Below are 12863 nucleotides of genomic sequence, written 5' to 3'. Positions count from 1 at the left end.
TTTCCATTCCTACCACACTGAGCTCACTTCTGCGACATCTTGGTTTTCGCTCTCCTACCCCCATCTCTCTCCTCAGGTCTTCACTTGGATCTTTACCCTTTATCCCTATTTTCACTATCAGCTTAAGTCCATTCAGGCTGCTATAACAAAATATCTTAGGACTGGGTGGCTTATAAACAGCAGAAATTTCTCATAGTCTGGAGGCTTAGCAAGTTCAAGGTCACAGCAGATTCAGTGTCTGAGGAAGGCCCACGTTTTGGCTCATAGATGGTGTCCTCTCACTTAGTAGAGGGAATAAGGCAGCTCTCTGGGGCCTCTTTTGTAAGGGCACTGCTTCCATTCATGAGGGCTCCACCTTTATGACCCCAATCACGCCCAAAGGCCCCATCTTCTAATACCATCACATTGGCGATTAGGTTTCAACATACAGATTTTGGAGGCAGACTACTGCACAGCTTAAAATCCACCTCCCTAGGAGTCTTTTCTGACACCCCTCACCCAATGGAATCTTACTGCTGTTTCACTTTCATGTCAGTTGGTTTCCCACCCTGACTAGAATATAAACTTGAAGAAAATAAATAAAGGCCTCGCTTACTCAAAGCTGCATCCCCATTGTCTAGCAGGTATTCAATAAATATTTTTGAATAGGATTCCACCAGTAGATGGCTAGATTTGAAAGATATGCCAAATATACTGCCAATCCAAAACTCAGTGGAATCTTTCACTTGCATGAGTTAACTGCACCTCTAAAATTGAGAATGAATTTAAGATCCACCCCGTTAATATCTCTATTTTAAGAAGAGAGGTACTTGGGCTGACATTAAAGGAGTACCTGGAACTGGGCTGAGTGTGTTACATGTTACTGTATTTAAATCCAGCAACCTCTCAAAGGACCTGCCAGTGACACCAATGGGGTTCAGACACACATGTGCCTCCTATACCTATACCTGGGTGGTGTGCAGTGGGCACTGGAGGCAGCCTGCTTTCTGCATACCCTCTGCCTCCCTCTTCAAGATGGACATTCTATCAAGTGCTCATTTTAATTGTGCATTAGGTCACAAGAAAACAGGGCAGAGACCACACTTCAGATTTCAGAAATGCCTCACATCTAGTTGGTGGAATGCCAGGCTCTAGGCCCAATTCTGTCATTATCTAGGTCCAGCTGTGTAATTCTGGATACTTAGCTGACCTTTCTGGGCCTCAACTTTACACCCGCAAAACGGGTTTGTGTGGCTATATGGATGGTCTTGAAGGAACACTCCAGCCCCATCATTCTATAATTTGGGAATAGGATGTGGTTTTTATTAACCTATTTTGCTCTGGACACTGGCACCTCACATCTTCTATACAGAATGTTGCCTTAGAAGTCTGGGGAATACGGTGCTGGCATCATGGAATCTCTACGGCAAAGCTGTCATCTGTTCTAAATTAAAAGAGAAATCAGCAGGCAGTCCTAGCACCATATGTACCTCTTAATTTTATATCCAGAAGCTTGCCAAGACCAAAAATACACACTATTCAATATTTACATCAGGTCTCTGAGAATCCCATTGCCCATTCTGCACTTAAATGCACTGCATTAATTTGAAGGGAAACCCTGTGGCAGGGAGAATGCTAACCAGATTAAAGTAAGACTGTTTTAAACACCATTTCTCCATTTTTAATGGCGCTTGAAGTGTATTCCTGCAAGGATAAGGTGAAAAGTTGTGGCCTAATGATACCTAACACAATAACTTAATAATTTTTGGGGAAAAGATCATTCAAAATTAATCTCAGTTCCCCCACTTATAAGCACTACCACTTAATAAGCTTCTACCATGTGCAACATAGACAATATAATTCTAGCCCTCCTAGCAAATTCTGCAGTAAAATTCTCAGTTTATAGATGAGCACCTAAGAGAAGTCACATACTTCACACGAGTTTCATGAAAACCATTTCTGCCTTGTTTCCGCCAAACAATGAAGGCAGGGGAGAGGCCTTCTATAAATATTTGCTGGATGCAAGATTCTTTTCAAAATGACAAAATAAGTTTCATATATAAGTCTGGATGCAACACCCTTCACCATTCCTCTCATTCTAAGTGGCTCATTTAAACCTGCAAGGGCGTAATAAACTAATCTGGCTGATTACACACTGACCGCAGAAATTCGCCTTCTCCCGGGAAAACTGCAGTCGAGTGTAGGGAATCGAGATGCTTTGGAGAAGATCGCAGACCTTCCTATCCCATAGGCCAAAAATTTCTAAAAATCAAACAAGAACGCATTCTTAGCCAGTAATAAACTGCCTAGAAGAGGTCTTAAGTTTTATCATCAATTTTTCTTTACGTGCTGTAATTCTCTCTCGGAATACTAACCAGGAGAGAAGTGTTTAAAACCCCAGGGAAGCCAGCTGCTACTCTCAGAACTCGTGCCCTCCTCAGCACAAAGCTTCCCACCGCACAATGACCCCTTGTATCAAGGCCTCTCAGGGCCTAGGGCACAAGGAAATTGAACTCTAACTTGCAAGGCTGCAAAACAAAGCAGTTTCAAGCCAGAGGCCTCCAAACAGTGCAGCCCTAAAAACGGACGCCTGTACTCCTTTTCGAAGAAAGTCTCAGAATTCTTACAGTATTACGCTGCTGGGGAAAACTTCAGCGCGGAGAAGGCCTACGTTTGGAGGAAAAAGAAGCCGGAAGCATACAAAAGAGCAAGTAAGCAGTTCTCCCACGTGGGCCGCAGGCAACAAGCAGAGTCAGAGAGCGGAAGCTGGAGTCCCGCAAGGCACCAGGAGACGGTCACAGAAGCTGCAGGCGCCCGGACACCTCCTGACTCCAGCCGGGTGTCTTTCTTGGAAGAAGAGTGGTTCTCAGGAATGGTGGTGGCATGGGTGCAGCCTCTCCCATCCACGACCTCTCTCTCTAAAGGGGTGCCTACGCCCTACAGGGTGCGGGTGCAGATAAGCCAAAAGGTGGTGTGTGTGTGTGTGTGTGTGTGTGTGTGTGTGTGTGTGTGTGTGTGTGTGTTGGCGGTGCGGCAGGGGGATCATTTGCAAGCGTACCCTCTCCTCGCGCGGCAAGTGAGTCCCGAGTGCCGCGCCCCAGTCCCTCCCCGCGGCGGCAAGGGACGCACGGGCCGGGCGCATGGCCCCCGGAGGCGCGGTCCCCCGGCGCGGGGGCGAGAAGGCATCCGGCAGGGCGAACCGCTGCGGCTGGGAGGGCTCATCTCACCTTCACGGCGGTGGTGGTGGTGCCAGAGGCCATGTCTGCACGGGAAAGGAATCTGCAGTGGGCGAGCGCTCGGGACTAAGGGAACCAAGCGAGCCACAGAGCGGTGGCTGTGCCAACCTCACTGCGCGGGAGTGAGCAGTGCGGAGACCAGGGGCGGGCCTTGACTCCTCCTCTTCCTCCCCGGGACAGCTGGATTGGCTGCTTGTGTGGGATCTCCCCCGCCACCCCTTCCCCAAATCGAAGTTCCCGCGTTCCGCCCCTTTTGCAGACCTTTCCGGTTCTCCAGGTTTTTGTCGTTTTTTTTTTTTTTTTATCCCCAGTTATAACTAACGGATAATGATAATAATGGAGACCATTTATAGAGCGCTGTATTGTTCCAGACTGTGTGTTTTGCACTTTAATTGGCTTACTTAACTTTCGCTAAAACCTTATAAGGAAGAGCAGCACTCCCTGCTTGGCCCAATATTAGTGGCGTCGGAGGCCTCAGCTGCAAAATCTGGCCCGGCGGCATTCCAGAAGTTCTCGCGGGAGGGAGAATCCTCACCAAGGCGGGTACTGGCCGGCCACGGAGATTCTCTTAGGCAGCTAACGCGGGGCGGCCGCCGCGGCGGGGGCAAGATTTGTCCTTCCTGCGGCTGCGAACCCACCGCGGGTTTGCGTATTTCCCTTGATTCCTGGAGGACAGAGCTGGGATGGACTTGACCCAAGACTCAGGGATGACGAAAGGGAAATAAACAGAGTAACGTAGTACTGGATAATCTTTCTGATTTACGAACTATGATTTACTCATCTTCAATTTGAGGGGCCGCTTTTAGGGGGTTGAGACCTTGCACAACTCCCAGTCTGGCTCTACCTGGCTGGGGGCATCTTTAACCCGTTCTACGCCGGAGCGGCATCGAATACACCTGGATTCAGAATCCAAACTCAGGTCTCCGTCATTCAACACTAGCAGGACGCACACACACACACACCACGAGCCCTTTACAGGGATAATCCCTCATGCTTACAGCCCCCGTCCCTTCCCTACTGGGGTAATCCAATTTAACCTTCCTTGATGGATTAAGCGTTCTGAAACAAAATAATGGGTGGCAAGGATCTTAAGGGTGGACTCTGAGATGTAGAAATGCTGCAAATTAGCCTGGACGTGGGAGGAGGGCCGAGAAAGGGGATGCTTTCCTCTTTCCTTACAGCAGCAAAACACGGAAACAAAACACAAGTACAATTTAATTCAAAATACCACTGTGTGATGTTAGCCTGGATGCTGCTCATAGAACCTATTTACTTAAACAGTATAGACTTTCGTCCTCACATTACTATAAGCTTTAGGTCTAAATTTTCTCACAATGTAAAGTTTTCTTTCTTCTGTTACAATCATCTATTTCTTTTAAGTTATAAAATGCAATGGCAAAAGAAGAATGAAAGTAGAATCCGGGTGCTCCTTTGAGGAATAGGAGACAGGGAATCCTTCGCGGATGAAGACAATGTAGCTTTCTAGGGGCCTTTCTGCCGATTGCTCTATTGAGGAGCAGGAAGCCCACCACTCAGAAGTGAACCATTGAGGGCACAGGGATGCCCTAGGCTTTATGGCCGCTACCTAAGTAGGGGATCCTAGCCAACTTAAGTGACTTGATATGGTTAACAAGTCCAGTTTCTACTCAGCACTGCCTCTCTGCTAAAAGTTAGACGTTGTAACCAAGTTAGATCCTGTAAGCATAAAATACCCCTAGGCATAGGAGTTGGAAACTTGGCGAGGACCAGGCTGGACTTCTGGACTTTTCTACTATAACTTGCAGGTTAGGGCTCAAGCATTTGCTCTTGAAGATGTGATGTCTGTGAAGAGGAAATTCTTCTAAAGTTTGAATTTCATGTAAACTTACATGTGACAAAATATTATTCTACTTTTGATATTTTCTCAACCACTTAAGATTGTAAAAAAGCATTCTCAGTTCAAAGCTGTACAAAAACAGGTGGAGAGCTGGGTTTGGTCGAGGTCTTGGGCCATTGTTTTCCGCTCAGGGTAGTGCCTGAATCAGACGACCCCTTGCTACCCAGACTTGGATAACCCTTGGGCAGTCCTGTGGGACAGTGCTTTCTTTAGTGCAGTATCTTTGAAAAGGTAGGCAGTAATATTTTTGCCTTATTTCCAAATTTTGGGTCATGTTTTTTCTTAACAAGCCCTAAAATAAAAGGAAGACAAAATTTTCAATAATTTTGAATACGCAAAAATTTTCAGTGGTCTCCCTTTTTGATTACTATGTCAACAAGACAAGGAGAGTCGGTCTATTTGTGAACATAGATTTTGCCCTGCCCTTCTGTTCTTATCCTATAAATCCCCCTCTGTTAACCTGTACCCTTGCTTTTCTAAAGATAATTATCAAGAACTAGGTCACCTTACAACAATTCTGATTATGAAACAGTATAAGGATTCCAACAGCTTCTCCCTTTTTGATAATCTCTCATAAATGTCTTCCCAACTTCTAGGTCCTAGCCAACAAAGTACTGAAATGGTTATCACCAGTAGCTGACTATGTTGGGTCTTGAGCAGTGGTTCTTCAGTGTCCTACAGTTCCCTTTTACTAAACATGTTATTTTTGAAGTCGTCTCCAAACCATTCCAGAATCATCAAATCTTCAGGAGGAAGTATTCACACAAATGCATGAAATGTATCACCTCAGCCAACCATATCAGCTTTCCCACTGAATTGTTATATTTCTGCCCCTGACCAGTATGTCTGTCCTGGATGGGTACTACAAAATGGGCCCAAGCTGGCTGGTAACCCATCCTCATCTGAAGGTATTAAAGCTGGCAAGTTGTCATGGCCTAAGAAACTCACATAACTCCCCACTACCTTGTAGATATTTGGGCCAAAATAAAAATTCTAAATAACATGGAGGTGTGCTTAGAGATCCCCAATGGTGTGTGAATCACATCTTTTTACAATACACCTGTATCACAGCCACAATGAGTAGGGACATTTTGGCCACTACTTTTGACAATGGATTAGATTCCCACATTGGAAGCTTTGTGAAAAAGCTAAAGTTCTATTAGCAAGCAGCCACTCTAGATTTAGCAGAACATTGTTGAAAAAATATCTGGGGGAACAATAAGTAAACTAATTATAATAATGACAGTAATACATTTTAAAAATTATTGCATCTTCAGATTCTCAGCCAGGCAAGCCTATGCCAGCATGAAGAAGCCAAAGATGTCTGAACTGGTATAAATTCAGGTTCAAAATCCACAACATCATCGTTGTGCACAGTGTGGTCATTGGGAAGAAAAAAGTTAAACTCAGAGACTCAATGCCCTTAATAAAATTGTATCCAAAGAAACTTCTCCACAGGCAATTATCAGAATAATCAACTTCTCTTTATCCTGCCCAAGAAGGAAAAAAAATGTACTGAAAAGAAAATAGTGGCTAGTGTTTATTAAGAAGCAAAAGATATGCAAGTATGTACCAGGCCAGTCCTAAGGTACCCTTCTGAAAAAACATTGAATATAATTGGATAAATGTATAAGAGATTTGTCTGCAATCCAAGTTCTCTTAACACTCTTGATTGTAAATAACTGAACAAATTATTGATCTAAAAAATACAGCTATGTGTCTTTACCCTGACTCTGCAGTATAGACCATGATACAACATAAACATTAACATTTTAGTAACTAGAGACTTAGATATTTTTGTCATAGAAGGCCTAATTGAACCTTTCTAAATTTCTTATAGGTTAGTATGTGACTATTACTCTAAAACTTTAAGGAAATAAGAACAAAAAACAAAGAGAAGTGTTCCATTCTCCCATTATCATAGTGATAAAACAAAATAAGTAGTATGTCACAAGTGAAGAAAATATTACTGAAATCTAATATTAAAAATGCATTTATTGCAGGTACTTTATAGAGGGAATTGCAAGTGATATACTAGGTTTCTCAAAAAATATTTACATCACATTTTAGGTGGCAATTCCTTATAATGACCTTTAATGAAAGTGGAGAGTCCAGTTATAAAGTGTAACCTGGCATCTGTGTTTTTGGTTGAGGGAAGAACCCCATGCTTTAAAATGAGTTAAGTAGGGTCAGTTTTGACAGTCTGCTTTAAAGTTGGTATGCTCCAGATAGTTGGAATTAGCCATATGTTTCTTGTTGCAATAGAATCAAGTTCTCCTTCAGTTTTCTTTATTCGTTCCTTCTATTCAAAGTCCCTTTTACCCTAGAAATATCCTTCATTGCAAATCACCTTGTCTTGTCTTCAAAGTTCACTTCAAATTGTATCTCCCCTATCATTTCTGAAACTCTACTGAAGATGACTTAAGTTGCATATAATTTGGATTTTTTGAAGTAAAATCTCACCATTTTTTCACTTTTCTTAGATTAATGCTGCACATTAAAAGCATATTCAGGTTAACAGAATGGCCATCTACCCTGGACTCCCAGGATCTTCACATACCTATTATAAATAATAATAGGTATTATTATTTCTGTTATAGGATAAGCAAAGTGTAAGATTAAGCCCTGAACCCTATACCTCCCTCAGTGAAAGAGAGAGTATGTTCAATCTTGATCTGAAGAGACATGATTCTCAGCTTCTGTGCTTTGTATAGAAAAGGGCCAAAAAGTAATAGATACCCAGATGTATTTTAATATCACAGATGCAACATAATCTCTGCTTAGCGTGTCAGGATCTAAAGCTATGATGAAAGACCCATATAATGAGCTCTTATGTGACCCACTGCTCTTTATTCCACTTTAAAAACTTAAGGCAGGAAATAAGTCTAAAAGCATTGCTTTTCTTCTCTGGCAAATCCATATGTTGTCTGTACATACAATCCTAAAAACAAATTGGGAACAAAGTCATATTTGTCTTCTGAGCATCTTCAAGAGCAACAACAAAACAGCTAATATTTATTAAGAGCCACATATTCTTCATTTAATCCTCACAGATATTAATGTCATTGCTATTAATGTAATTTCCATTTTACAGAGGAGGAGAGAGAGAGAAGTTGAATTGCTGTAACTTCATCTTTTCTGCTTATTTGCCTCTCCCCAAAGCTTCCTTGTCCGTTTGGAATCTTCAGGACTTCCCTCTCTCTAGCCCATCAAAATGTCAATCAAACCTATCAAACCTGTTAAGTTGCCAAAATCACCTTAAAATGTTACCTCACCCAGGGGTTTATGAATTTTACAGGTATTAAGCCTTAAATTGAGATAATTAAATTCTAGGTAGGATGTGATGTTTGAGAAAGGACAAGTGTTGGTGTTATTATCACTATCATTGCATGAGGAACATGAGGCTCAGAGCATTTAAGAAGTCTTCTCAAATTTATATAACTAAAGTAATTGAGATTCAGTCCTGAATCTGTCCTAATTGCAAAGTCTAAACTCTTGATTAATTATTATTTTTTCCACTGTTGAGATTCAGATAACAACACCCCAAAAAGGAAGTCCTCAGAAGCAGCCTCAAAAGCGAAAGTTTTTCTCTGACCTTCTCCTGCCTGTCTTTCACGCCCATTATCCCCCTGATGCTACCATAGAAACTAGAATCCTTCTTCCCCAAGGTGGATAATAGAAACCAGAAGATCTTTTCCCTAAAGCCAGCCGTAAAACCTAAACATATTTCTCTAACCTTCCCTCTGCCTTTCTGTGTGAAGGGTAAGAACCAAAAGATATGCGAATATGGCCATGAAGAAATTGTCTGACCTATCTTGTTTGACTGTGGGTTATAATACCCCCATTCCAGAGAGAGACCTGACTCATACCCATAAGGAAGGAATCCTACACAGAGAGGCCAAGAAGAATCTAGACAGACAGCTTTGCTGGGTTTCCCCACTCAGTCTGTTAGCAGTATGTCATGCCCTTTTTGTCCAATCATATTTCTACATGGCTGTCCATACTTTGTTGAACCTGTGGAATATAAATCATTAAGCCAAGGGAAAAAATGACTAAGCCAAGGGAAAAGTCAAGCCGGGAACTATGTTAGACAAACCTGCTTCCCGTTTTATTCCTGGAAGAGATAGCTACAAATATAAGAAGCTACATACCTCCCTCACAATTTGCCCAAGGAAATTCCTTGTGGACGAAAGACAGACAGAACTCAAAGTAATCCCTCTGAGGCTCACCTGAGACAAATGCATATCTGATTGCTTTCTCTGCCCTATTGTTTATGTAAAAATGCAGATTCACTGAACCAGACTAAATTGTGTATGCAGTGGAAGGCCGATCGTGGACCTGAGGCTGTGTCACCGATGCATCCTTAACATTGGGCAAAATTATCTTTCGAAAGTGACTGAGACCTGTCTCAGATATTTTGGGTTAACAAAGCTAATCATAAAAATGGAAAATTTTCCCTGGATCTTTGGGTCTTCATTCTGAAGGCTCCCATGTGTTCACATGAAATAAATTTGTATGCCCTGTCTCCAACGGGAAAGTTTCTCTACACCATCATGTTCTGGTCCTTAAACTTAGTGCTAAGAGGGAAAGATGTATGATCTATATAGTCTCTGAGCCCTTAAGAAACTCCTGATCTGGTGAGAAGAGTCAGAAAGAGAAGTCAAATATTATAAAACAATGTGATAAGGGTAAATTTAGATACTGTGAAAACACAGAGCTGGGCATCTTTTAGAGTTTTCCTGGAGAAAGTGAGTCTTAAGGGATGAGCTAAGAAATTAGAGAGGTGAGGGGTGTGTGTGTGTTGTTAGCGGGGAAGTTGGGTATGAAGGAAATTGAAGTGCAGGAGACAGTCATTTAGATAATGAATCATGTGGTCCATTAATACTAAGAAAAAATAAATTCGATTAGATTTGATTAAGAAGTTGTTAATGACCTTTATCCTGAGCAAAAACAAAAATTTGTTTCAGAGCCAGAAAAATAGGATGAAGGAAATGCCAAAGACAATGAGATGCCATTAAAATGACTTTGCTATTAGAAGGTGGTCTCTTCCATCTGGCTCCACCATCCTCTGATCATCCCTGTGACTTTAGAGTTGTGACCTCTTGGAAACATTAAAAGCAACCCATGATGATGGTGGTGGTAACTTCTATCTACCCAAATCAGGCAATAAAGAAAGTGAGAAAGAATTAATCACAAAATCACTTTGATGGTGTAAACTTGAAGTCCCTGGTTGATGCAACAGTTATAAAAAACCTCAGAGGTCCCCCTGCAACACAGATGGAATCACTGAGGAAGCAGATCGCTCTCAGGACCTATGTCTGGTCTCACTCACATCTCTGACCTATATAGCCATATTGTGAGCATAAACACTTGACCCACAAAGCTCTGCTCGTCCAAATTGTAAGTGATTCCCTACACTTGGATCAGGAAGGAGTGACCATCAGCCTGGTTTGGCTGGGATAGTCCTGGTTTATACCTACTGTAGATCAATTAACAAGTTTTAATTATTTTTAGTGTTCCCCTTTTCCCTCTCAAATGTGTCCCAGTTTAGAAGATATATTTTATGGTCACTCTAGGTAAGTGCCTTTCCACCATGGGATGGTTTTGAATTAAATATAGAAATGTCGAAATAAAGCAAACATAGCATTTGTGCTAAATTTAAAGAAAAACTCTGTTTCTTATTTAAAACTTTATACAGTATATAAAATACATAGAATTTCAGAGGTTATCCTCATAATTCCAATTGAATATGCAATTGATTTTAAGTTTGATTTTAAGCTAAAAGGCAAAAATAATTTGACTAAGTTTCCGTATATTATCAGATTATATAAGGTACTTTGATTTGTTATATTTCCTGAGTATAAATAATTTTATTTCAAGCATTATCTGAGTTCTCGGAAACATTTTGTTTATAGGTATTGTAAATTTGTCCTGTCAGACATTTGAAATGCTTAAAAATTAAAGTCAAATTTTTGAAAAACTGTTTAAAATATTTAATCGAATATAATTAAAGTATTGAGGAAAATTATTCTGTTCAATTTAGAAATGTTAATCCAAAAATAGCTAATACAGTAATCAATAAAAAAGTAAAGGTGATATTTCTCATTATACTCAACTTGTAAACAGTATAAAAAGATTTGTAAGTTGAACAGAAATGCTTAAGGAAGACTTGTTTTTAAATTTTCTGACTTTTAATACAATTTAAAACCCAAATAGCTTTTAAATACTTCTTCACACACAGAGCTCTCACCCTTATTTTACTCCGGAATTTTTTTTTTCAAATACCCAATACAAAATTCACATGGACTATTGCCTCAAGAGCGAAACTCTGGCAAATTGGAGAGAGTGTGAACAGCCTGTGGGTGAGGAAAAGAAACAACAAACCTGTACTTCATAAAGTCTGGATGAAAAGGGAGGAGATACTGGGAGATGAACAGCAGAGGATAGGTAGTCAATGGGGTATTTTTTTTTTCTTTTACTAAGGAGAGAGTTTTGAGCGTGTTTGTAAGCAAGTGAAAAGAAGTTCACAAAGAAGAAAAAATGGAAGACACTAAGAGAGGTATGGCTAATGGCCCAAGATCCCAGAGGAATGGGATCAGAAGCTCTGACAGAAATCATAGTCCTCTATTAGAATGGAGACATGGGGCTGGAAGAAAGGAGGTAAGAATGGGGCCTCTAGATAGTTTAAGAGTAGGTGCTGTGAACCTAAGAAAGACGACTCTTGATGGTATAATTTTCTTAACAAAGTAAGAGATAAGGGTTGCATAATGAGTTTGAGAAAAGATGACAAAGATTTGACCATGTCAGATTAGGGACCATGAATTAGAAATGGTACCAATCTGCAAGGGCGTGTAATTTTTTCTGACAGCCCTTCACCCTTGTCTGATCAGATAGGACCTCAAGGAATTGAGGATGTTGGGGAAGTATAAGTTTATCTTATCAATCAAAGAAATCCAGCCCTGTGGGGAACAATGAAGCCATGAAGGACCTGGATGATGGGGGAAGGTGGAGGATCAAGGGGGTGGAGGATCAAGGGACTGGAGGACTTAAAGGAGTCTAAGAGCCATGAGGGTAGGGTGAGGGAATGTGAAAGAGGGAAGGAGAGGAGGTCCTGGAGGGAGATATCGGAGCTCAAGGTTTTAGAAGAGTAATAAGTTCTAAAGGTTATGGAAAGATCCAAGAAGTGAGCAAGTGAATTAGTCAGATGGGGGAAAGGGGGAAGGTGGTTTGTTTTTTTTTAAATCTCCATGTGTGTATTGTCTACATTCATATTACATCTCCTAGAACTGTGGCAGATAGGACTTGGGGTAAGACGAAGACCATGATACAAGGTCCAGCTGTTGGAGGGGCTGGTAAATCAAAGCCACAGGGATGATCAGAGGATGGTAGAGCCAGATGGAAGAGACCACCTTCTAATAGCATTAGTTTTTCTAGAGGCCATGGAAGCAAACCAACCTGGAGTTGGCAATGAGAAACCAGGAGATTGCTACCCTTCATCACAGTCCCCTAGTATGTAGGGAATGGAAAAATAACAACCTCCTTAAGAGAAAGCTGTAGAGTGAAAGGATAGGCAGATTTCAGTAAAGGAAAATAGATGGAAACGGTGACTTAAAATGAGGGTGAAGTATAAAGAGGCTTACTAATTACTAAACTAGCACTTCATAAGAATGCAGTGGGAAATGTATTTGTAAAGTACTGAGGGAAAGTGGAAGAGGAGTATTTTTTGCTTGCTATATCTTTCTTAATTTTATTGTTAATTGACAATAATTGTA

The 12863-nt window shown here is 41.2% G+C and overlaps 1 protein-coding gene across 8 annotated transcripts in view, besides 6 other annotated features; it reads right to left on the bottom strand.

Annotated features, from left to right (window-relative positions):
* MTAP (methylthioadenosine phosphorylase) overlaps nucleotides 1-3352 on the bottom strand; it is a 138480-nt gene extending 135128 nt beyond the window's left edge. For 7 of the 8 annotated variants that reach the window (NR_173242.1, NM_001396044.1, NM_001396043.1 and 4 more), the window contains exon 1: nucleotides 3207-3352. Coding sequence is in view for 7 of the 8 variants with exons in the window: in NM_001396044.1 (NP_001382973.1) it covers nucleotides 3207-3239 (33 nt within the window). In the remaining variant the exon portion in view is untranslated. Of the gene's footprint in view, nucleotides 1-3037 lie in introns of all 8 variants that reach the window. The other variant, NM_001396040.1, reaches the window with a different exon arrangement.
* Nucleotides 707-851: an enhancer, noted in NCBI's record as "145 bp 9:21805208 sequence used in MPRA reporter constructs". NCBI's record gives its function as "activates a minimal TATA-containing promoter with rs80138396 allelic activity by MPRAs in C283T melanocytes {active_cell/tissue: C283T}" and the evidence as "EXISTENCE:reporter gene assay evidence [ECO:0000049][PMID:36423637]".
* Nucleotides 778-779: a transcriptional cis regulatory region, noted in NCBI's record as "rs80138396 or 9:21805208 MPRA-significant variant associated with a GWAS melanoma risk locus at 9p21.3". NCBI's record gives its function as "allelic transcriptional activity by MPRAs in C283T melanocytes {active_cell/tissue: C283T}" and the evidence as "EXISTENCE:reporter gene assay evidence [ECO:0000049][PMID:36423637]".
* Nucleotides 2510-2719: an enhancer, noted in NCBI's record as "active region_28241". NCBI's record gives its function as "activates an Ori minimal core promoter by ATAC-STARR-seq in GM12878 lymphoblastoid cells {active_cell/tissue: GM12878}" and the evidence as "EXISTENCE:reporter gene assay evidence [ECO:0000049][PMID:35858748]".
* Nucleotides 3010-3169: a silencer, noted in NCBI's record as "silent region_19809". NCBI's record gives its function as "represses an Ori minimal core promoter by ATAC-STARR-seq in GM12878 lymphoblastoid cells {active_cell/tissue: GM12878}" and the evidence as "EXISTENCE:reporter gene assay evidence [ECO:0000049][PMID:35858748]".
* Nucleotides 3214-3842: an enhancer, noted in NCBI's record as "H3K27ac hESC enhancer chr9:21802145-21802773 (GRCh37/hg19 assembly coordinates)". NCBI's record gives its function as "activates a minimal SCP1, AML or CMV promoter by ChIP-STARR-seq in primed H9 embryonic stem cells {active_cell/tissue: H9 hESC(primed)}" and the evidence as "EXISTENCE:reporter gene assay evidence [ECO:0000049][PMID:30033119]".
* Nucleotides 3843-4473: an enhancer, noted in NCBI's record as "H3K27ac hESC enhancer chr9:21801514-21802144 (GRCh37/hg19 assembly coordinates)". NCBI's record gives its function as "activates a minimal SCP1, AML or CMV promoter by ChIP-STARR-seq in primed H9 embryonic stem cells {active_cell/tissue: H9 hESC(primed)}" and the evidence as "EXISTENCE:reporter gene assay evidence [ECO:0000049][PMID:30033119]".

Source organism: Homo sapiens, chromosome 9, assembly GCF_000001405.40.
Source record: "Homo sapiens chromosome 9, GRCh38.p14 Primary Assembly".
NCBI classification, from domain to species: Eukaryota; Metazoa; Chordata; class Mammalia; order Primates; family Hominidae; genus Homo; species Homo sapiens.
This window is presented reverse-complemented; position numbering and strand designations above follow the sequence as displayed.